This window comes from Homo sapiens, chromosome 10 (assembly GCF_000001405.40).
Source record: "Homo sapiens chromosome 10, GRCh38.p14 Primary Assembly".
NCBI classification, from domain to species: domain Eukaryota; kingdom Metazoa; phylum Chordata; class Mammalia; order Primates; family Hominidae; genus Homo; species Homo sapiens.
In genome coordinates, this window is record NC_000010.11 from 5,599,553 (window position 1) to 5,621,054 (window position 21,502).

The window sequence follows — 21,502 nt, forward strand, 5'->3', positions numbered from 1 at the left end:
ATTTTTTAAGTTTCTCAGCTGTAATTGTTAATGCAACATACATTGATAGATGCGGCCATATAAACAAGAGCTCCTCGGGAGCCTCAGTGGTTTTTCAGAGTACAAAGTGAGTCCTGAGACTACCTTGTTTGAGGATCACTGTAATAAACAAAGAGCAGTGCAGGGGCGAGCTGAAGGGGACAGTGGCTTTGTCGCTGACTGTTTGACCTTGAACAGGCTGTTTGACCTTGAGTAGGCTGTTTGACCTCTGGCCTCATCTACCAGTGGAAGATGCTGAGCAAACGGGTCCCAAGTCCCCTCCACCTTTAACCACCTGTAACTCTTGGTTCTTTCACAGCAGAGGCAGAGACTGGGAGCTCAAAAGGCCAAAGGGGCCCTCCCCGAAAGCCTGGCTCCCTGGAGCACACCGTGAGAATGCCACAGCATCGGTCTGCTGGCGAAAAATAACCGCCCTGAGACCTGGGGTCCGAGCACTTCTCCCAGGGCCCGGAGGAGAGGGGTGATGTCAGCGCCCTGCAGCCGGCGGCATTCCTGGGCGCACAGGTCTGTGGGTGATTGCTCAGGAATCCGCCATCCATTCATGCCTCCAGAAATGTCACCTCTAATCCATGCCTGAGCACAGAGTGTTTGCCTGTGTGTGTGTGTGTGTGTGTGTGTGTGTGTGCACCACACTCCATCAAATGCAAGAAGTAATCCAATTTAGGCTCTTACGTCCTTTCAGGGAAGACTCACAGAGAAACAAAGCTCCGAGCCCTGTGTTTCGGGAAGTCACCCCTGTGTTGTGGCCTCAGCAAGCAGAAATTTGAAGGAGCAGGTGGGGGTGTGAGACCCAGCAGTGATGGTGCCCTTCCCGCCTCCTGGCCAGAGGCCCTCCTGCCCATCCCTCCCGGAGCCCACGCTGTCCTCCGTGGGGCTATTGGAAACCTACTCTGAAACTGTTATAAATACTCAATAATAAACAAACATGAGTTATTTCTGAAATGTTCCCAGGAATAGCCAACTGCCCAAATAGCCAAGGTTGTTCTTCAAGTCCTGGGAAAAATAGAAATGTGGGTATGGTTTATTTTTCCTTTGCTCAAAGCAGGATCCTTGGTCACACACATCTAATTTTAGTTTTCTGTTTCTATTTTGTATGTTATCATTGTGTAGCCCAGGGAAAGAGAGAAGAGAGGGGTGGGAGAGAGACTGGGGAAGAATGAGGGGGAGAGAGAGAGAATGAGCATGAAGGGAAGACGGGAGGAAGATTCTGGTCTTCAGCTCTTGCTCCTGTGATAACATTTGGAAAAACAACAGTGTAGTCTTCAATATTTCCTTGGCCCTGCTGGAAGTGAATTTTAGAGACCCAAGATGGTGGGTGAGCCATAGAGAAATGTTATAAATTTCCAAGTCTCCTCAAAATCAGATAATAAGTGAAAATGTAGATAGCTGGAAAAAAAAAAATAAAGGGAGGCCACGATGAAGACCACAGCTCACCCAAGGCATCAGAAAAGGAGTTTCCAGTGAGCAAGGAGGGTCTGGAATTAAGACGTTTTGGGGCCAGGTATGGTGAGTCACGCATTTAATCCCAGAGCTTTGGGAGGCCAAGGCAGGCAGGTCACTAGAGGCTAGGATTTCAAGACCAGCCTGGGCACCATAGCGAGGCTGCATCCCTACAAAAAATACAAAACTTAGCCAGGCATGGTGGTGTGAGCCTGTCATCCCAGCTACTCTGGAGGCTGAGGCGGGAGGATCACTGGAGCCCAGAAATTGGAGGCTGCCGTGAGCTATGATCACACCACTGCACTCCAGCCTGAGCGGACCCTATCTTAAAAAATACTAAAAAGACCCTTTCACAAGGTCACCTGGACACCGGAAATGCCTCTGTTTCCCACATGCTGCTATGGAGGAGAACAAGCAATAGACAGCCCCGATAAATCCCCACCAGTGAGCTGCACTCAGGGCTGGCCCACTCTGACCACTTCCTCCCTTGGCTATTAGGACTCAACCAAATCGGCACGTTTAGCGAGTAGTTGCTGAGATGCCAGACAGCGCTCAGAACTGGGTGCATGCGCTGAGGCTGGCAAAGCCATCCTCCTGCTTGGGAAAGACTAGCAAAGCAGAGTTCTGCCCTGGGACTCTAGAGGGGAGCCCCTTGCAGCTGGCATTCCCCTGACCAGGCCCTCACTTGCCAGGATGGGACCCAGGAGTCCTAACACCAGCCAGGCTTTGCACCCCCTGCCCGTAACACTGGTCTGGAATCTTCAAAGCAGCCACAGAAGCCCCTGAGCCCCCTTCATTTGTTCCTAATCTGCCTTCTCCAGACCCCACCTTCACCCAATTTGGAGCATGTGGCTCTCTCCCCGACTGCAGTCGGTGGTGCCACTGTGTGGATTTGATGTTGGCTTTTGGCCTACCTGGTGTCAGCTTTTCCCAGAAGATCACACTGGGCTTGAGTTCCATTTCTCAATGCACTCTGCTAATTCAACCCTGGCCAAATGAGCTTTCAACACCACAGCCGCCCTGGAAGAATGCGGTGCACACATCAGCACTCTGCTTTAAGCTCCAATGTGCTATTCCTGCTGCAGCCTCAATGCAGACACGGGGTGGGCAAGTAGCCCGTCTGACGAGGGGCCCACAGGAAGTCCGTCACCCTCCCAGGCCCGTCTGACGAGGGGCCCACAGGAAGTCTGTCACCCTCCCAGGCCCACCTGATGAGGGGTCCACAGGAAGTCCATCACCCTCCCAGGCCCACTTGATGAGGGGACCACAGGAAGTCCATCACCCTCCCAGGCCCACTTGATGAGGGGACCACAGGAAGTCCATTACCCTCCCAGGCACATCTGAAGAGGGGCCCACAGGAAGTCCACCACCTTCCTGAGTCCACCTGATAAGGAGCCCACAGGAATCCCATCACCTTCCCAGGTGCTCTTAGCATGTGGGCGTAGTCCTAACATCTGCAAGCATCCTGAGGGGGAAAAATAAATGAAGCTCAAGGAAGAGAAAAACCATTTCATGCCTTACCCAAGGCCTTTCTCCAGAGCTGTTCTCATGAACGACACAACCCTAATCACAGCTAACATGAAAGGCTAAGTCACCAAGACTGTGTGGCGACCGCACACTCATGCCGACAGTGTCACAACAAGATCCATCTCACGCCTGTAATCCCAGCACTTTGGGAGGCCACGGCAGGAGGACTGCTTGAGGCCAGGAGTTCGTGACCAGCCTAGGCAACTTAGTGAGTCCTCATCTCTATTTTAAAATAAATAAATATTTTTGTAAAAAGCTCCATCTTATCTGTTGGCATGGCCAGCCCTTACACTCCCAAAAGGACTCCGAGGTCCCTGCCTAACTTGACCTCAATTCCTACTTTTTTCCTCGTGCACAAAATAGGATGAAAGGTAAAGATCTCCCTCCTGAATTAATAGTGTGAGAAACAATTAAAAAACAATGATTTCATGGCTTTCATGATCTATAAGTTGCCTTAGAAGGGTTTTAAGAAGTGCAGGAGCTTCTCCCAACCTAGCAAACAGCAGACTCCGAGACCACTGGAGGCCTTCCCTGTTGAAGACTGGCGCCTCAGAAGACATGGCTTCTCTTTTCTAAATAACTGGGTCAAGAATTTGGTTAGGTTAAAACAAAACAAGAACCAAAACCAAAAAGGAACAAGCCTTCCCAAGTGTCTTAGTCAGTTCAGGCTGCTATAAAAAGAACCGCTGACTGGGTGACCTACAAACAACAGACATGTCTCTCCTCTGAGTTCTGCAGGCTGGCAGTTCTGAGATCCGGGCGCCTGCACCGTCAGATTCTGCTGCAGGCTGGCTTCTTGGTTGCAGACGGGCAGGCTTCCTGCTGTGTCCTCAATCGGAGGAAAGAGATCATCTCTCTTGTGTCTCTTTCATGAGGGCACTAATCCCATTCGTTGGGGCTCCACCCTCATGACCTCATCACCTTCCAAAGGTCTGACCTCCTAACACCATCTTCACGCGGGTGAGGATTTCAACGTGGGAATCTGGGGGAGACACAAACACTCAGTTCCTAGCACCAGGAAAGCGTGTGTGAATGTGACAGAGTGCTGGGGGCCCTGAGAAGTCACGCCTCTTCCATTGGCTTCTGGGGCCACCAGGACAGGAGGACTTCCCCCAGCCTTGCGCAGCCTGCATGCTGGGGACAAGTGGTCAGAGCTCTGCACCACATTGTGGGGACCAGCTCTGGAGACAACATTGGTCTCTCTGGCTTTGGGCTTAAGTTGCCTCTGAGCTCATCACCTTTCTTTTCCTGACATCCTACTGGGAAGCTGCCTGTGGGACCCACACACTGGTAACCCTGCTTGGGTTTTAGATCCCTCCAAAGAGGTGGGACAAACACCACTGAGCAAAAGAGCCAGAAACAAAAGGGCACACGCTGTTTGCTGCCAGTGTATGAAGTCCAAGGACAGGCAGAGCCAGCCTTGCTTCTGGGAACCGGATGGCGGCCGCCCGGGGCAGGGGCGCGGATAGGGTCTGGGATGCCGGCGGGGCATGGCTTCAGAGTGGGCTCCGCTTATAAAACTTCAACTGGCTGAACACTCACGGCATGCACACTTTTCTGTAAGTACAGTCGAGGAAAAGTGAGAGAGAGAGGAGACACCAGCGTAGCCAACCACTCTCCAGATGCCGAGCTTCCTGGAGACGCCAAGACTGGTTTGCCTTCTGTGGGGGGTGGTTCCCTTCCCATCCTCTCATAAGCAATAATGATGTTTCCTTTCCTCAGTCAGAAGGAGCCTGTCCTCAGACTTCAGAAGGAGGAGGGAACCCTCCCTTCTCACTCCTCCAACTTCAGTCCCAGAAGGAGGCTGTGCAGCACGGTCCTCGGACTCCGGGAGGCGGTGCAGATGCATGATGCAGGTTCAATGTCATTAGCCAGGGCAGGATCCTGGGAGGGAAGCCATCCTTGGTGCTGCGTGGAAAACAGCAAGTGCAGCCCCCACGCACTCCCTGCCCGGGCCTCCCCACTCGCCTTGGGGTTAGACCAGGCTCCACTGGTCTCATCTTCAAGGATCTCCACAAGCTTCATTGCAGGATTTTTTCCTAGAAAGGCCTGAAAGGTGAGGTGAAAACTGAGGCACAAGGGATCAGCCAGATGTGGTGGTGCATGCCTGTAGTCCCAGTTACTTGGGAGGCTGATGTGGGAGGATCGCTTGAGCCAGGGAGGTCAAAGCTACAGAGAGCTGAGATTGCACCACTGCACTCCAGCTGGGGCAACAGAGGTGGAGGGCAGCAGTGTGATCATAGCTCCCTGCATTGACAAGACAGAAAGAAAGAAAGAAGGAAAGCAAGAAAGCAAGAAAGAAAGAGAAGGAAGGAAGGAAGGAAGGAAGGAAGGAAGGAAGGAAGGAAGGAAGGAAGGAAGGAAGGAAGGAAAGAAAAAGTTAGTTTGGGCCCAGCAAAAGGAGTAGGTTTGAGAAGTAGTTGGTGGGGGGAAGGGGCTTTCCTGAAAGAGCCACCTTTTCTTTGAAAAAGGAGAAACAGTAGCTCTGGAAGGACCGCCTCTGGAGTCAGACTTGAGTCCAAATACACTCTTGAGGACACATCGAGTGTAGGAAAACGAAAGACAGGTGCAGGCTCGGGGCCAGCTCTGCACAGCGTCCCGGGTGGGTGGGATCACACCAGTATGGGATCCAAGACATATTCCTGCAGCAGTTGATTTCCAGAACTCGGATGAAAACACCACATTAATTCCCAGGGCAAGCACCAGCCAGACTGAGTTTCACTCCTCATGAGGCCTAATAAGTCTAAATATGTATAACTTCACCTAAAATTAAATCCAGCTTCAAAACAAGCCCATGCAGTTACATAAGGCAGTGAAATGGGAAGACTGGCTTTCAAAACAAAACCAAAATCATGATCAAGGAGCGAGCGTGGACCTCGTGGGGCTGACCTTCGAAAGACCCTCTTCGTTCTCTTACTTCCCATTCTATGCACGTAATTTCCCCAGTGTAAACCCTGATGACCAAAAGGCCTCCGAAAGACCTCACCAGCATGTTAACATCCTCATTCCTCCTTCTCCTCTCTCACATGTGGTCACATTTTCTTGCTTTTTTTGTTTGGTTGGTTTGTGTGTGTTTGTTTGTTTTGACAGGGTCTCGCTCTGTTGCCCAGGCTGCAGTGCAGTGGCGCTATCATAGCTCACCGCAGCCTCAACCTCCTGGATTCAAGCAATCCTCCCGCCTCAACCTCCAGAGTAGCTGGGACCACAGGTGTACCCCACCATGCCCCACTAATTTTTTTCACATTTTCTGAAAGCATTAAGTGACTTGAAGGAGACCCCCAACCCATACAAATTCACTCCAAACCACAGACTTGTGGGTTAGGCCTTAGAATTCTAAAATCTGGGGAGACCCTGGGGGCCTTTCTGACTCCAGACCACCCCAACTAGGAAGAACCCTGTTGAGACGTGAAAACCAAGAACAAAGAAGTGATGAGGTTGCCCAACCTGTTTTTCTTTTGTTTTTTAGGCCTTAAAATAGTTAATAGTGTATGTTATTTGAGCCATAATTTCCTTAAAACATTAAGTTTCTCCATTTACATAATGTATTCGCAATAACAGGCCCAGGACTGGAGATGAGGACATAATAGGTTCAAGAGTTCAAGTCAAATTCCAACCTTTTCTAGTGCTTAGTTTTGTGGGTAAATCCTGTCCCTTCCCTGGGTCTCCCTGTCTCTCTCTGTATAAACTCAAAGGAGGGGACTGGGGATCACTAAGGTCCTTCTGGTTCTGCAAGTGTCTCATTTATCCTTCCTGGGTTGGTCCAATTCCAGCTTCAGGTGACCCTCAGCAATATGTCTTCTGGCATTGAAAAGCCAGGCTCCTGGAACCTCACTGCCGCCACTGACTCAGTGGGTCTCACTGCTGTGAACTTGGAGTCCACCAAACCACATGCCCCTGAGGGGCCACTGTGTGCCCCACCCCACGGTCACACAACGTGCATGGGAGCCTCCCAAAATACAGCCACTCCCACCACCCACCATCTTACCCAGTGCCACAGGGCCCGGGCAGCAGTGAACAGAGGGTGTCGTTGCAACTGGAACTGCAGCACCTTTTCTTCCCCGGATGGATTCTATGAGTTTTCCAACATAGGAAGGGGTGTTGGGCTGGACATGGATTAAAGCGAGGTGCTGCCTGCCATTTCCTGTCCCGAGGAAGCAGAGAAGGAGAGGCCACGTGTCCTCGCCACTGGGCAGGCAGGGTCTTTCCTGACTCCCGGCCATAAAGAAACCAAAATCCCCGGGACTTTTGGGTCCTGAGGAAAGTCAGTTTTGTCCTCAGGGGTGAGGCTTGTATCTAGAAGCTCCTTACGTGGTTCCCTGTGAACGCATCTCTGCTTCTTCCGTGAGGAAACTGAGGCATGCAGGTGTCCACCTACTCTGTGGCCGTATCAATCGGGGGCTGATGCATACACAAGAGGGGACTTTCAGAAAGGCAGCAGGCAACCAGGGAGGCAGAGCTGTGCACCAGAAGGAAACCCGCTCCTTCCTGAAAGGCAGGCACAGGATGCCATCAACTGGGGAACCCCGGGAGGTACAGGCCCCACCCTGTACCCCCTCCTTCGTTTTCCGTACACTTGATGTGTCCTCAAAAGTATGCTTGGACTCAAGTCTGACTCCAGAGGGGGTCCTTCCAGAGCCATCGTTTCTCCTTTTTCAAAGGAAAGGTGGCTCTTTCAGGAAAGCTCCTTCCCCACCCCAACTATTTCTCAAACCCACTTCCTTTTCTAGGCCAGAACTTTATTTATCTATTTATTTAGTTTATTTATTTGTTTGTTTGTTTATTTATTTTTGGCGACAGAATCAATGCAGAGAGCCATGATCACACAAATTCAGAGCTCTGTTGCCCAAGCTGGAGTGCAGTGGTGCGATCTTGGCTCTCTGTAGCCTTGACCTCCTTGGCTCAAGCGATCCTCCCACCTCAGCCTCCCAAGTAGCTGGGACTATAGGCATGCACCATCACACCTGGCTAATTTTTTATTTTTTGTAGAATCATGGTCTCACTATGTTGCTCAGGCTGGTCTTGAACTCCTGGGCTCAAGCAATCCATCCACCTTGGCCTCCCAAAATGCTAGAATTACAGACATGAGCCTGCACCCAGCCCTGGGCCAGCACTTTCATGCCCAGTTAACAGCCTTTGGGGCTGGGCAGGAGCTGGGGTGTGTGTACCCCACACATACAAAGTCTCCACCTACCTCTCGGTCAGGCCATCCCTTAGCGTTGCTCCCCTGTGATGTGGTTTCTCCATCTTACGCTGTGGTGACACAGGGCTCCCCCACCAACCCACGGTCACTCAGCAATGGCCTGTGGGGTAGGTGCTCACACCCCCAAGGCTCCAGGAGGGCACCCCGGGCACCTGCAGTGACTTCTCTTATTGTAGATGTGGTTTCGAGGATGGACGAAAAACCTAAATGAATCCTTTCAGAGGGAAACTTGGGGCTTTGCTCTATGTTTAGGGGAAGGTTCACTCTCAAACCCCGGCCTGCCGTGAGGGCAGATGTCTCCCTCCTCCTGCATGTGAACAAGGATGCTCATGGTCCAGGAGGTGCTGGCAGCCACTTTATCACCATGAGGGAAGCAGGCTGAGAATTAACCTGACCCACAGGGAGCATCACAGATAACTCGACCTGCAGCCTCATAGGATCAAGAGCTTTGGAGAAAATCAACCCAGATGCCTGAACTTCCTTGGTGTGTTTTAGCTGTGGGAGCTGACAAAGCCCTTGTTGACAGTCGTTGGATGTGGATGTTCTGTAGCTGGACTGTGAAGCACTCTAATAAAATCACCTTTAGAAACTTTTACTCTTTTCATGGCTTTATGACGACGCAGGAGGTAAAGATGGTGTGCTTTCTACAACAGTAACCCCTCCCTTCCAACCAGATTGCCACACCAAGTCCTCCCACACAGACATTCCCGGGGCACCGGACAGGAGCCCCCAAAAGGCCCATCAGAACAACCCAGCATGTCCCCACAACATCCAGAGACCTTCCGTGCTCGTTACAGATTCTCAGGCAGAAGGAGCAACGTCGTGAAGGAGATATCCAGGAAGATTGCCTGACAGCATTCACTATGCAGAAGCCATTGAGAATCAGAGCCATCGGCTGGGAGGCAGGAACAGTGAGTGATCAGCTGAGGAAGGCCCCATGGAGGTCAAGGAAGGGGAAGGCATCCCAGAGACACTGCAAGGAGGAAGGGCTGGCAGCATTAGGACAAAGGGGACATGTCAGTCACGGGCACAGAAGAGGGTGAAACCGAAAGGCCACGCATGCTGGGAAGACGAATTGGCAGCTGGGTTCAATGAACCACCATGCCCTCAAGGTTAAAATTCAGAAAGATCTATTTTGGTCTTAGATCATTTGCAGTTTTGTTAGGTTTGTTTTGCCCGATAGGGTGGGCAGGGAGGGGGAGGTTGCATTCGAGTCGTAACTGGGATGATTTCTGGGAACGAGAGCCTGAGAAATTCCTTCTCTGCTCAAGGCAGCAGGGGCAGAGGAGACAGGATTCCCATGCTTCACTCTCAAACCCCGGCCAGCCGTGCGGGCAGATGTCACCAGTGCCTGCTGCTGGCAATACCACTTGGCTCCTTAAATGGTAAATTCTGCTAAGAAGGTCTCCCTTTTCCAGGAGATATTTTAAAACAAATGCAGTGGACATTTCCCTTCAAAATGAGATGCATTCTGTCAAGCAGCTGGCATTCATTAGGAAACTAGAGACAAAAAGTATCACAATCAAATGACACCATTTGACAGAGGAGGAAACTGAGCCCCAGAAGTCCAGTGGCAGAGCTGGACCTCCACTCAGCTCTCCTGGGTCCCCCACAAGGGCCAAGGTGACCGGCTCCCTCTGCCATCCCAGCACCATTATCACATGCACCACCCATCCCATCACTCTGGAAAGGGCCTGATCTGGACAACGAATTACTTGTCCATTCTGACTCTAACCCACTACCTCCAGGACTTAAGGAACTAGGAAAGCAAAGAATGGAAAACCAGCAAGTCCTCTTCTTTGGGGGCTTTGTTCTATGTCTGGGGGATGTGAAGCCATCTCCCTCCTAGATATGAACGAAGACACATGTGGCCTGGAAGGTGTTGGCAGCCACTTTATCACCATGAGGGAAGCAGTTTGAGGACTCACCTGACCTACAGGGAGAATCACAGATAACTCCACCTGCATCTTCCTAAGAGTGAGAACCTTGGAGAAAGTCAATTCAAACACTTGCCTTCCCTCAGGAGTCAGTTCTGAGAGCTACCAAGGAGAGGGCAGGATCAGGGTGAAAAATGACTTGGGTCTCAGACCCAGAACATTCTACTGGCTGCCTCCAGGACTCAGTGGGGGGCTAGGAAGGGTTCTCCATCTTCCAAGGGTGTGGAGTGTGCTGTGGGTCACTCAGAACCTCCCTCTCCTCTTCTGTGATCAGCGGATCTTGTCCAGCCCCTCTCCACTGCTGGCTCACTCAGCGCCCTCCCCCACCCAGAAACTGCTGGGCTCACCTACTGAGCTATGTGATCCCTAAGAAGCTGTCAGAGCTGTACAAGTCTCACAATTCCTTACTCACTAAGCACTGGCAAGCGCAAGCTCCAGGGCGTGGCTGTCAGCACTCTGCACCTTCCTGGAACTGTCGGGGGAGCATACGGTCAGCAGCACCATGCACATCCTTATTGTGCAGCTCAGGAGTCCAAAGCCAAGAACAAGACGGTGAAGACAGCCCAAGAAGGCTTTTCGGTGCAGTCAATGTCTGACATTTATGATGCACCCACTCACCGGGGACACCGAGTCACATCTGAGCCTCATTTTTTCTTCTGGGAAGACATGCACACTGCCCGACTCATATCATTCACCTTTGGACAGGCAAAGGAGGGAAGGAGGCAAGGCAGGTGCTTCTTTCTAAAAAAAAAAAAAAAAGAAAGAAAGGATAATAAAGAGAGAAAGAAGGAGGGAAGGAAGGGAAGGGAAGGGAATAAAGGAGAAGAAGGAAAGAAAAAGAATGAAAGAAGGAAGGAAGGAGAGAGAGAGAAAGAAAAAGAAAGAGAAAAGAAAGAAAACAAAAGAAAGGAAGGAGAAAGGAAAGAAAGAAAGAAAGAAAGAAAGAAAGAAAGAAAGAAAAAGAAAGAAAGAAAGAAAGAAAGAGAGAGAGAAAGAAAGAGAAAGAAAGAAAGAAATCAAGCAAGCAAGCACGCACGCACGCACGGCCCAGGAAGAGAAAACCAGTGAGTCCTCTCTAAATGGTGAATCAGAGTCCGTGGCATAGCCAGGGACAAAGTCCAACTTGCCTCTGCCCGGATCTCCGTCTGCTGCCATCTCCGGAGGCCACACGGCCTGCCCCTCCCCTGCTCGCTCCTCATTCTCTGATGACAGGTGGTATGAGTGGCTACTCACCACTCTGACAGCCTCTCAGCAGCAGACTGTACCCTGGGTTTGCAGGTAGAGCCTGAGTTACACCTCCTGAATGCATTACACATCACAACACTGTCACCACACTCTCTTTTGACCTAAAGAAACCCTGCACTGGGTGACCTCCAAGAAGCCATCTGCCTCTGATGCTTCTAGGTTAGGCAGCAGGGCTGGGAGAGTGGTAATATAAACCCCTTCTTTCCACTGGGGCCTTTTGGTTTCAGTCCTTGGAAATATTATTTGTAAAAGAACTTAAAATGCACTCGCTTTGGGGAAATGCTCAGATTCAGGAGACCCCCCGATGGGACATGGAGAGAAGCCGGGGTCCTGGGGAGGCACCACCTGCCTTGCCTCTTTCTGCACCCCAGCACCCAGCCCAGGCCTGGCACACAGCAGGGAGGGCTGGCTGGATGCTTCCTAAGCGAGTGGTTATTCTCTAAGTGGATACAACCAATGTGCCGGCCAAACAGATGCACTGGAGCCTCTAGGTGCTTAGGTTTGGTTCACGGTCTCGCAGGCATCCATTGATTGGAATATATGTAGACTTACTTTTTTTTTTTTCTTTTTTTGAGAGGGAGCCTCTCTCTGTCATGAGGCTGGAGTGCAGTGGCGCGATCTTGGCTCACTGCAACCTCTGCCTCCCAGGTTCAAGCAATTCTTCTGCCTCAGCCTCCCGAGTAGCTGGGATGACAGGTGTGCACCACCACGTCCAGCTAATTTTTGTATTTTTAGTAGAGATGGGGTTTCACTATGTTGGCCAGGATGGTCTCAATCTCTTGACCTCGTGATCCGCCCACCTCAGCCTCCCAAAGTACTGGGATTACAGGTGTGAGCCACCACACTTGGCCTCTAGTGCAGGGGCTACCAGGTGACCAGAGTTTTTATTCTTGGTCACTTTAGCACAAAAATAGAGAAAAGTGGCCTCAGTGAACCTTATCTGTACCTCATTTCATCCTTGCAGACATCCCCAGGCTCTGCAGGACCAGCGAGTGAGAGGAACCACGCACATACCTGGCAACAGCAGTCTGGGGTTGGTGTGCCCGTCTGTAATGGCTGCATGTGGTACATTTGATTCTATGAGCGCGTGTCTAATGTGAGTTTCAGGAAGGCGACAGCTGTGCCATGAAGAATGGATGACTCACCTCTCTGCACCAGCCTCGCCAGCATGCAGGCCTGTGTGGTGCCGTCCAGAGCCCAGGGCTCAGCATGAATGAGGAACGCACGTACCTGAAGTCGGGTTCCCATTCCAGCCCTTCCCCATCCAGCTTCTACTGACTTCCAACCACTGCGAAGAGAAACGTGTTGTCTCTGGCTAATTCCCTCTCTCGACCTTCTTAAGCAAACCTCCAGGAAAGGCTGCAGAAGGGGACCTGTGAGGTTTGCAGATGGCATCAGAAGGCTGAGAGACAAGTGTCCTCCAGCCTCACCAGCAAGATTTCCTGTGCCCTTCCCATCTCCACTTCCCCACCCTGCAGGCTCCCTGCAGGCAACCTTTCTGTCCCCTTCCCTCCTCCCCCACTATGTTTTCCTGCCCCTTATTCATCATTCACTGGACATTCTGAGCACCCATCTTGGCTAGATTTCAAGGCACTGAGGATTCAAAAGGAGAGTCAGGCATTGCCCCTGCCCTCAAGGTGAAAGCTGGAGCTCAGCTGGGAGAAAAGAACCTGCCTTCAAGTGACATCAAAAGTTGCAGGGGTGGCCAGGCATGGCGGTTCATGCCTGTAAATCCCAGCACCTTGGGAGGCAAGGCGGGAGGATCAGTTGAGCCCAAGAATTCAGGAGCAGCCTGGACAACATGGCAAAACCTTGTCTTTAGAAAAAAATACAAAACAAAAACAAACCAAAAAAATAAAGCCAGGCACGGTGGCACACGCCTGTAGTCTCAGCTACTTGGGAGGCTCAGGTGGGAGGATCACCTGAGCCCAGGAGATCAAGGCTGCAGTGAGCCGAGATCACACCACTGCACTCCAGCCTAGGCTACAGAGTGAGACCCTATCTCAAAAAAAAAAAAAAGAAAGAAAGAAAAGAAAGCTGCAGGGGAGGGTTCAGGGAAGCTGTGTAGAAGCTGAGTCCCTGTCCACTTCTTTTGCCTGTGAGCAGTCTGAAGACTTGGCCGATTGAGGGAAATCTTTACTGCTTTGGGTCTTACTTGGAAACCCGAAGGCTTAGCTGGGTATGAGGCTGCAGCAGTCCTGGTTCTGCTATCTTAAAAGTATGTCTGTGGGCCAGGCATGGTGGCTCACACCTGTAATCCCAGCACTTTGGGAGGCCGACGTGGGCAGATCACCTGAGGTCAGAAGTTTGAGACCCGCCTGGACAACATGGTAAAACGCCGTCTCTACTAAAAATACAAAAATTAGCCCAGCATGGTGGTGTGTGCCTGTAGTCCCAGCTACTTGGGAGGCTGAGGCAGGAGAATTGCCTGAACCCGGGAGGCAGAGGTTTCAGTGAGCCGAGATTGTGCCACTGCACTCCAGCCTGGACAGAGCAAGACTCTGTCTCCAAAAAAAAAAAAAAAAAAAAAAAAATGGCTCTGTTTCATGACCTGGGCCTACCCCACCCTCCACCGGGAAAAGTTCTTCAGCACTAGGCCCCATGGGAGACGGACTCCGAAGTCCCCTCCAGTTCTCTGCTATACTCACCTTCTCCTCCCTGCAAGCAAACAGAAGGAAAGATGCACGTTTCCAAGGGCGGGCAGAGGTCTCCAGTCCCCTCCCCGACCACACGGTTTCCTCCTCCGCAGCCCTACTCCAGTGAACCCCGGGCTCTGTGTGACATCAAAGGCTGGGGTGAGAGAAGTGCTACCCCCTGCTCCCCAGCCTAAGCGCCTGGATGGGGGACTAGGGGCCAGAGGGGGACGCAGGTCCCAGCTCCCATCTGTGCCAGGGCACAAGGCACTCCTTCCCCTAGGCAGGAAGCATTTGCTCCCCTAAGCAGGTCTTTCTTCCAGAAGCCTTGCTTATCACAGGCAAATTCACCCACCCTGAAGCTGCAGGCCATAGTGGGGGCAGGGAGGAGATTTATATGGCCTTCTAGCTAAAGCTTGGGACCACTCTGTGGAAGGTTTTTCAGGAAATCAAGGTCTGCCAGGAACCAGGAACCTGGTTGCGTTTAGCTGTGCACACTGGCCTTGACGGTCATGGAACAGTCCAGAAATGCACCACCCTGATCCACCCTAGGGCCAGTATTTTGGTTAGGTGTGTTTTGCACCATCTCATCAGTAACCCTGTGGTTTCCAAATGCCTCCTCCCTGCCCCTGTTCCACTAGGGCCCTCTGCCTGGGGCCAAAATAAACACTGGGAATTGGAACAGAGGAGGACTTTTCCAAGGGAGCGGCCACTGCCTCTTTTTCTCCACAGAGCCACCACCTGCATTTTAGCTGCTCACGCCAGCTGAGCTAAGGGCCAGCTCCAGCTCCTGGCTGCTAAGATTCCTCCAGTTTCCTTAGATTGTCAGCCTGGGACATGCCAATGTGTTTCATCTATCTCAAACCACAGAGCGCCATAATGAACAGACACATGGAGAAACTGGTGTCTTTCCCCCACCATCCCAAATGTGGGTCTCTCCGCCCACCAGCCTGGGAAACAAGGGAAAATGATTAACAGACACTCTAATTAGGGCATGGTTGAGCCTGTGGGGATCAAGGATGGGCTTTGGTTTCCTTGGGGAAGAATGTTGCTTTCACTATGCTGGATAAAGTGCTGGAATTTCACAGATCTCAGATTTCATAACCAAAGCTGGGATTCATTCCATGCTTTCCTGAAGTAACCAAACTCAAGCTATAGAATCTTAACCAAGTTAACAGATACATCCCATCCTTACCAATATTTGGAAGGGACCCTAATTAGCAATTCATTGTCATTCTTCTTGGTTGTGGTGTTTTAGCCATTTCTTCTTTTCTTTTTTTTCTCTTTTTTTCTTTTTTTTTTTTTTGTGATGGAGTCTTGCTCTGTCGCCCAGGCTGGAGTGCAGTGATGCAATCTCGGCTCACTGCAACCTCTGCCTCCCGCTTCAAGCAATTCTCCTGCCTCAGCCTCCTGGGTAGCTGGGAATACTGGCACACGCCACCACGCCCTGCTAATTTTTGTATTTTTAGTAGAGACAGGGTTTCACCATGTTGGTCAGGCGGGTCTCGAACTCCTGACCTCAGGCAATCCGTCTGCCTCGGCCTCCCAAAGTGCTGGGATTACAGGCATGAGCCACCGTGCCTGGCCCTTCCTTCCTTCCTTCTTTCCTTCCTTCTTTCCTTCCTTTCATTGTTAGCCCAAATGTCCATTTTGTTTCCCAAAGTATTCAGATAGAGTAAGTTACTAAACCATTTGGTCACTTTTTCTGTTTGTCATTCAATGACCACAGTCAGCAGGTTAAAGCCAGGCTCTAACTTAAACACAGAGGCTACTTCAATAGGCCTGTTTTTCTCAGAAACATGAACATCTTCACTGAAAAGCCGTAGTTAGGTTCCTGTACACGTCACGTTGTATTGACACAGGAGGATGTGTAAACCTAGCCCAAAGCTTTAGGAAGAAGCAGCTCTCAGGGAGGATGCTGGAAAGCGCCCAGGGAAAGCACACCATGACCGCAGCAGGCACCCACAGACCCAGCATCAGAGCGCAGCTCTGTGAATGGTAATTTATTCCACGGTGACTGCAGGCCAGGCCTGTGCTGAGCAAGTTTATATTTTATTTCATTCTCCCAACAGCCTCTGAAATATTTTTATCTCCATATCCAAACCCATGCATTCACAGGCCCAGCCCCATCCAGCCTGGCCTCTCTGGTGTCCAGGCTTGGACTCTTAACCCCTGGGGTCCTGGGTTTGTCATCTGACTCCCGGACTCAGGGACTGCTGATGAGCTTCTTTTCTTCCAGGGTTTCAGCCTCCTTGTTTTGCAGTGGGTATCATGGTCAGCCATTCACCCAGGGAACGTCCATGGCCCGTGCCTGGCACCGCACTTAGGTAGCCAATGGGCCATGCTCTGAGCAGACTCCGGGTTGTTACAGAGATTAAGTGAGCTGATGTCCAGGGGTCACTCAGCACAGTGCCTGCCCATAGCTGGCACCCTGGATGGCAGCTAGCACGGCAGCTCCACAAAGCCTTCCGGGACCCCTAGACTCTCTTCTTCTGCACCAACTCCAGGACTTCATTTAGCCCCTATCATAAGCACAACTCTGCCCCTGCTTGCTAAGGCCCAGCTCTGACGCACCTTGTGTCAATGGTCAGTGTCTGGCAAAGGGCTTGTGGCAGAGAAGAGGCTCCAACATGTGGGTGGTCGGCTCCCCGAGTGCCGCCGATGCCCTGAGTGCCGTCCACCCCCCGGAGTGCCGCCCGCCTCGCTGAGTGCCGCCCATCCCCCTGAGTGCCACCCACCCCGCCGAGTGCCGCCCACCCAGCCGAGTGCCGTCCACCCCCCCGAGTGCCGCCCACCCCCCGAGTGCCGCCCACCCAGCCGAGTGCCGTCCACCCCCCCGAGTGCCGCCCACCCCCCGAGTGCCGCCCACCCCCCGAGTGCCGCCCACCCCCCCGAGTGCCGCCCACCCCCCGAGTGCCGCCCACCCCCCCGAGTGCCGCCCACCCCCCCGAGTGCCGCCCACCCCCCGAGTGCCGTCCACCCCCCGAGTGCTGTCCACCCACAACACGGTGCTGCCTCTCTTGCCAAGGCAAATTAAGACACCCTTTGGTACAGAATGAAACCGTTCTCTTTGAAGAACTGCATGTTTCCCCCAGTCATTTTTGTCCTGGGGGAGTCAAGTGTTTTTACGGACCCTTGAAGCTTGAGGACACTCTGGCATCACCCATTGTTGGGGTGACTTTCTGGTGATTATCAGTGAGCAAACTTCAAGGCCAGCTCCGATTAGGAAAATCTGCCAAGTGTGAGTTTCCTTGGAGCTAGGACTGGGCAGAGACCCCTGGTCCTTGGTCCGTAGGGAAGCTGGGGGATTTGGGGGGTAAGTAATGAGATCATGTCTGCAGAGGCCCCCAGCCTCTTGGAAGAAGATTCCGCTGTAATTTCTTGGAAAAAGCCAACTCCTTCCAGCCCTTTCTGCTCACACCATCTCAGTTTTCCTGTCTGGCTGCAGCCACCAACAGCAGCCACAGGATCTCGCCAAATTTCCATTTACTTGCTCTCTGGTCTTCTCATGCTGGCGCAGTCCTCCCCTCCGGACCACGAGAGCCAAGTGTAAATTGTGTGGTCCCAGCAATCATTCAATCCTGCAGATAGCTGTGTTAAGGGTGTCTGGGGACCTGGGGAAGGAGTGTGTTTTGTGTTTTGTTTTTATGCATTTCCTCACTCTGTCTGGATATGGGGATCTGGGGAGGGAGAGAGAAGGTAGGCTTTCTTCACAGGGGATGCTTACCTACTGGCGAGCACAGCGATCTGAGCTTTGGGGGCCTCCGTCGGCCCTCAGTGATGTGTGGTTTCCCTCATTGGCCTTCACTGGGGTTCCCCTCAGTGCACTAAGGTGGACATGGGAGAAAAAGCCCCGTGGCCCCCTAAACAAATCGACCCCAGATGCCATGGGACAGGGTTCCAATCCCGCCTCTCGTGTTGGTTTTCTTGGTGATGAACGACAAATCCCTTTTCATTTCTAGTTCTGATCCCCTCATCTTGGAGGTGCTTGTCCCTGTCTGGCATCCCACAGTTTTCTATGGGAATGTGAAGATGCTTCAGCGGGGCTGCTGCCCTAAGGAGCATCTGGGGCAGGTGGACCAGGGTGGATGCATCAGTCGTGAGGACAGTGAAGGGCCGCGGATGCGGCAGTAGAGAGGAGGGCTGGCTGGAGAAGATGGGAGAGCGGCAGTTCCCACGCAGAACAGCAGCAGGAGGGCCGGGGAAGATGAGCTGGACAGGTAAGTATGGCGGGCAAGCGGGTAAGCAGGTGAGCAAGTAAGCAGGTAGGCAGGTGAGCAAGTAAGCAGGTAGGCAGGCGGGCAGGTAGGCAGGGAAGCAGGCCCTTGAATACTGTGCTAAGGAGTTTGGGTTTTACCTTGAGGGTGAAGAGTTCTTAGCGGGATGTTGGTGGAGCCTGGCAAAACCAGAGGCACAGAGATGCTGCCAACTCATCTTGCAGAGCGCGTCTCAGACATTCCTAGCAAAGAGAAGGCCCTGGGAAATCCAGTGACTCTGAAACCTTCATGCAGAGATGTGCGTGGAGATCTCTAGAAAGGGCTGGAGCCAGAGGGATAATTTCCGAAAGCTTCACAGATGCTGTGCTTCTGAGCAAAGTCCACACTCTGCATCTGGGCAGTGCACACGCAACCATGCACCAACCACACCACTCTTTGCAAGGACCTCAGCTCCTCGCCCAAACGCCGCAGGGCAAGCCCAGGCAGGGCTCAGCATTCCACTCTGAAGGTGAAGCCATGTGCTTTAAAAGAAGGCAGAGGCTCTGTGGCTGTTTCTCTTCCCCTCGCTGGGAGGTGGGACAGGGTAGTGGTTAAGCGTGGGTTCCATCATCCAACATCTAGGTGGCAATCCCAGCTCTACTGTTTAACAGTGTGTGCCCTTATATGCATTTCTTAATTTCTCCGGGCCTCTTTCCTCATTATCAAACTCAGGATTGAGCGGATTTCTCTACTCTCTACACCTAGAAAGTAGTGGGTGTACCTCACTACATGGCTCGTCAGAAGACTACAATAAAATGTGCTGTTATCATGATCTGTTTCTCCAGCACTTTTCTTTTAAACTGTCTGGAGAGTTGAATGATAACAACAGGCCTTTTAAGAATTTTGGAGGTAGGAACTACAATGATTCCCAAGCTGCTGATGAGGAACCGAGCCTCAGAGGGTTAATAACATCCCAGGATCTCATGCCCCCAAAAAGGGCAAGGCTCGGGAGGTGGAAAGACTTCTCATCACCAAGTATCACAGGGAGAAGGTCAGCTCCAGACTGAGCCTTAAAAAGTGTGTCTTGTTCAGGAAGGAGGTTGAGAAAGTGGGTGGCCACATGCCCGGGCCCTGGAAGGCTCCCTGGACCAGGGCCTCACGGACAGACTGAGAAAGCCGCTCCTGGCCTGGGTCATGCCTGCAGGGCCCTCGCTAGCCTATGAAACCCCACGGGCCTGCACGTTTCCTCCACAAGCTGTGAGAGGCATCAGTATGTCCTCTCCGGAGTGACAAATGACACTCGACCCCGAGGCCCACGCAGGCTCGGTAATCAGTGACAGCTGCAGCAGCTGTTCTGCTGGCCAGGGGTCAAGGTCCCAGGCAGCTTCTCCTTATGGGGTATAACCTGATTGCACTGCAGCTCTGAGCTGCCCCAGGAGCCCCGTGCACAGAGCCTGAGACTATGTCAAGCCCATCTGTCAATCTGGAAGAGCCCACCTCTCAATCTATGGAAAGAGACCGGAACAGTGCAGGTGCCCACTCAGTGCTGAAATGATCAAGGAGTAAATGAGTGAGTGAGTGAAGGAATGCATGAATCCTTCCTCCTCTTCCCTCGTAAGAGACAATCTCCAAGCAGCAATTGCCCCACCCTCATGGGCTTTTCCAGAACTGTGTGAGAAGAAAGGAGCTGCTCAGTGTCAGGGACACCCCTCCAAGTCCCACAGACCACAGTAGCAGGCATCTGACTCATGCCAGACCTGTCCTCCTGCAGGGAGCACACATACCCACCTGCCCCTGTGTGGTCGGCAGCCATGCCCCTGAGCCCTAGAGGCAGCGGGGAGCAAGATCTCCAAGCCCCAGCTCCACACTGATGGCTGCTCCTGGACAAGGATGCAGGGACCTGGAAAGAAAGGACAATCCCCCACCGAAGGAAGCGGAGGGGCCGGGATTTGAGGTTACAGCATGGAAGGAAAGAGCTGAGCTTCAAAGGCCGCAGAAGAAGAACAGGCGGAGTTAACAGGAAAAACCACAGTCAGGCCCTCTGGGAGAGGCTGGGGTTGCATGGAGGGCTGAGGAGGGGGAAGAGGGGCCAGGACTGGCAAAGGCTGCCTGACAGTCTGCCCTCCAGACAGCCACTTCCTCCCCTGTGCCTGCTCCATGTGGGAAGCCCTATGGGGGCTCAACTTTCAGCCCTGCTTCGGAGTGGGGGGACTGTCTCCTCCCTTGTCGCTCCCCATTCTCACCCCCACCCCCAACAGAGACCCCTTTCTGCAAGGCCAGGAGTGAGCGCACGGCATCAGACCCTTGCATCAGAGCCCTGGCACGTCCTTGTTTTCAGTGGTTTGGAAGTGAATCGTCTCTAGGTTTGTGTTGAGGCCAAGATACACGTTTTTCCTTTTCTCCGCTTTCCTTTCTTGTGCCTTGTTATGACTGGCTTTGGAGCCTGGCTTACAGGGAGGGGGGATGGAGAATGGGCAGGCTGTGGGGGAGGTGGCTGGGGTCCCAGGGAGGGAGGTCTCGGGACACCTGCCCTGCCAAAGTTAAGGCTACTGGGCAGGTGACCTTGGCCTCCAGGTCAGGGAAGCTGGAGGTATCTCATGGGCCACAGAGTCCCAGGATCCACAGAGGAAGGAGGAGGGAGCCGCTGGGAAAGTGGTTTAGGCTTAGGTGGTTGATGAGTGCGTGGGACAGGGGGAGGAGGAAGAAATGGGGAGGCTGCCACATGGCAGAGGAGGAACCCACACTCCGGAGAAACTCACTTTGTGTTCCAGCCTCCACTCGGAGCCGAGCGTCATCCCACCCACCCCGGGCTGGGTGTTTCTCCTTCACTTGGGAAAACCAAAAGGCAGAATTGAGGTTGCGGCCTCCAGAGCCCATCAGGACAAAAGACATGCCCTGAGCGCCCTGCACCAGCCCTGAGCTGAGTGGCGGCCCCACCAGCTGGCCCTTAGGGCTGAAAGCAAGAGCAGGCACGTGGGAGCTACCCAGGGTCTCGGGGTGCTGTGGAAGGTGCACCCCCACCAGCCTTCCACAGCCACCACATCCCAGGAGAGGCCAAGACACGCCCCAGACCAAACAGAAGACGGGAAAATGCTGGTTCTGAAAAATGTTTACATTCTCCTTCCCAGAATTCCAAGATACTAAGATGTCCTAAAACAAAAAGAAATGAAAAGATAGGAGGGAAAACACCCATTGATGAAAATGATTCATTCCCTCGATACATTTCTACAAAACGAACCCGGAGCAGGACCCAGAACTCTGCGTTCATCCGTCAGCACCCAGCTA

General features: G+C 52.5%; 2 long non-coding RNA genes across 3 annotated transcripts; both read right to left on the minus strand.

Moving 5' to 3' along the window:
• Positions 1-8,051: 8,051 nt before the first annotated feature.
• On the minus strand, positions 8,052-11,113 carry LINC02678 (long intergenic non-protein coding RNA 2678). Its single transcript, XR_001747275.2, has 3 exons — positions 10,556-11,113; positions 10,135-10,245; positions 8,052-9,179 (listed from the first exon to the last, which is right to left on the minus strand). It is a non-coding gene; the product is annotated as a long intergenic non-protein coding RNA 2678 (long non-coding RNA).
• A 5,952-nt stretch (positions 11,114-17,065) lies between these two features.
• On the minus strand, positions 17,066-18,656 carry LINC02677 (long intergenic non-protein coding RNA 2677). 2 transcript variants are annotated; one of them, NR_184031.1, is made up of 3 exons: positions 18,379-18,656; positions 17,749-17,848; positions 17,066-17,635 (listed from the first exon to the last, which is right to left on the minus strand). It is a non-coding gene; the product is annotated as a long intergenic non-protein coding RNA 2677 (long non-coding RNA). The 2 variants fall into 2 exon arrangements; NR_184032.1 differs by having other exon boundaries at positions 17,066-17,848.
• Between the last annotated feature and the right edge of the window lie 2,846 nt (positions 18,657-21,502).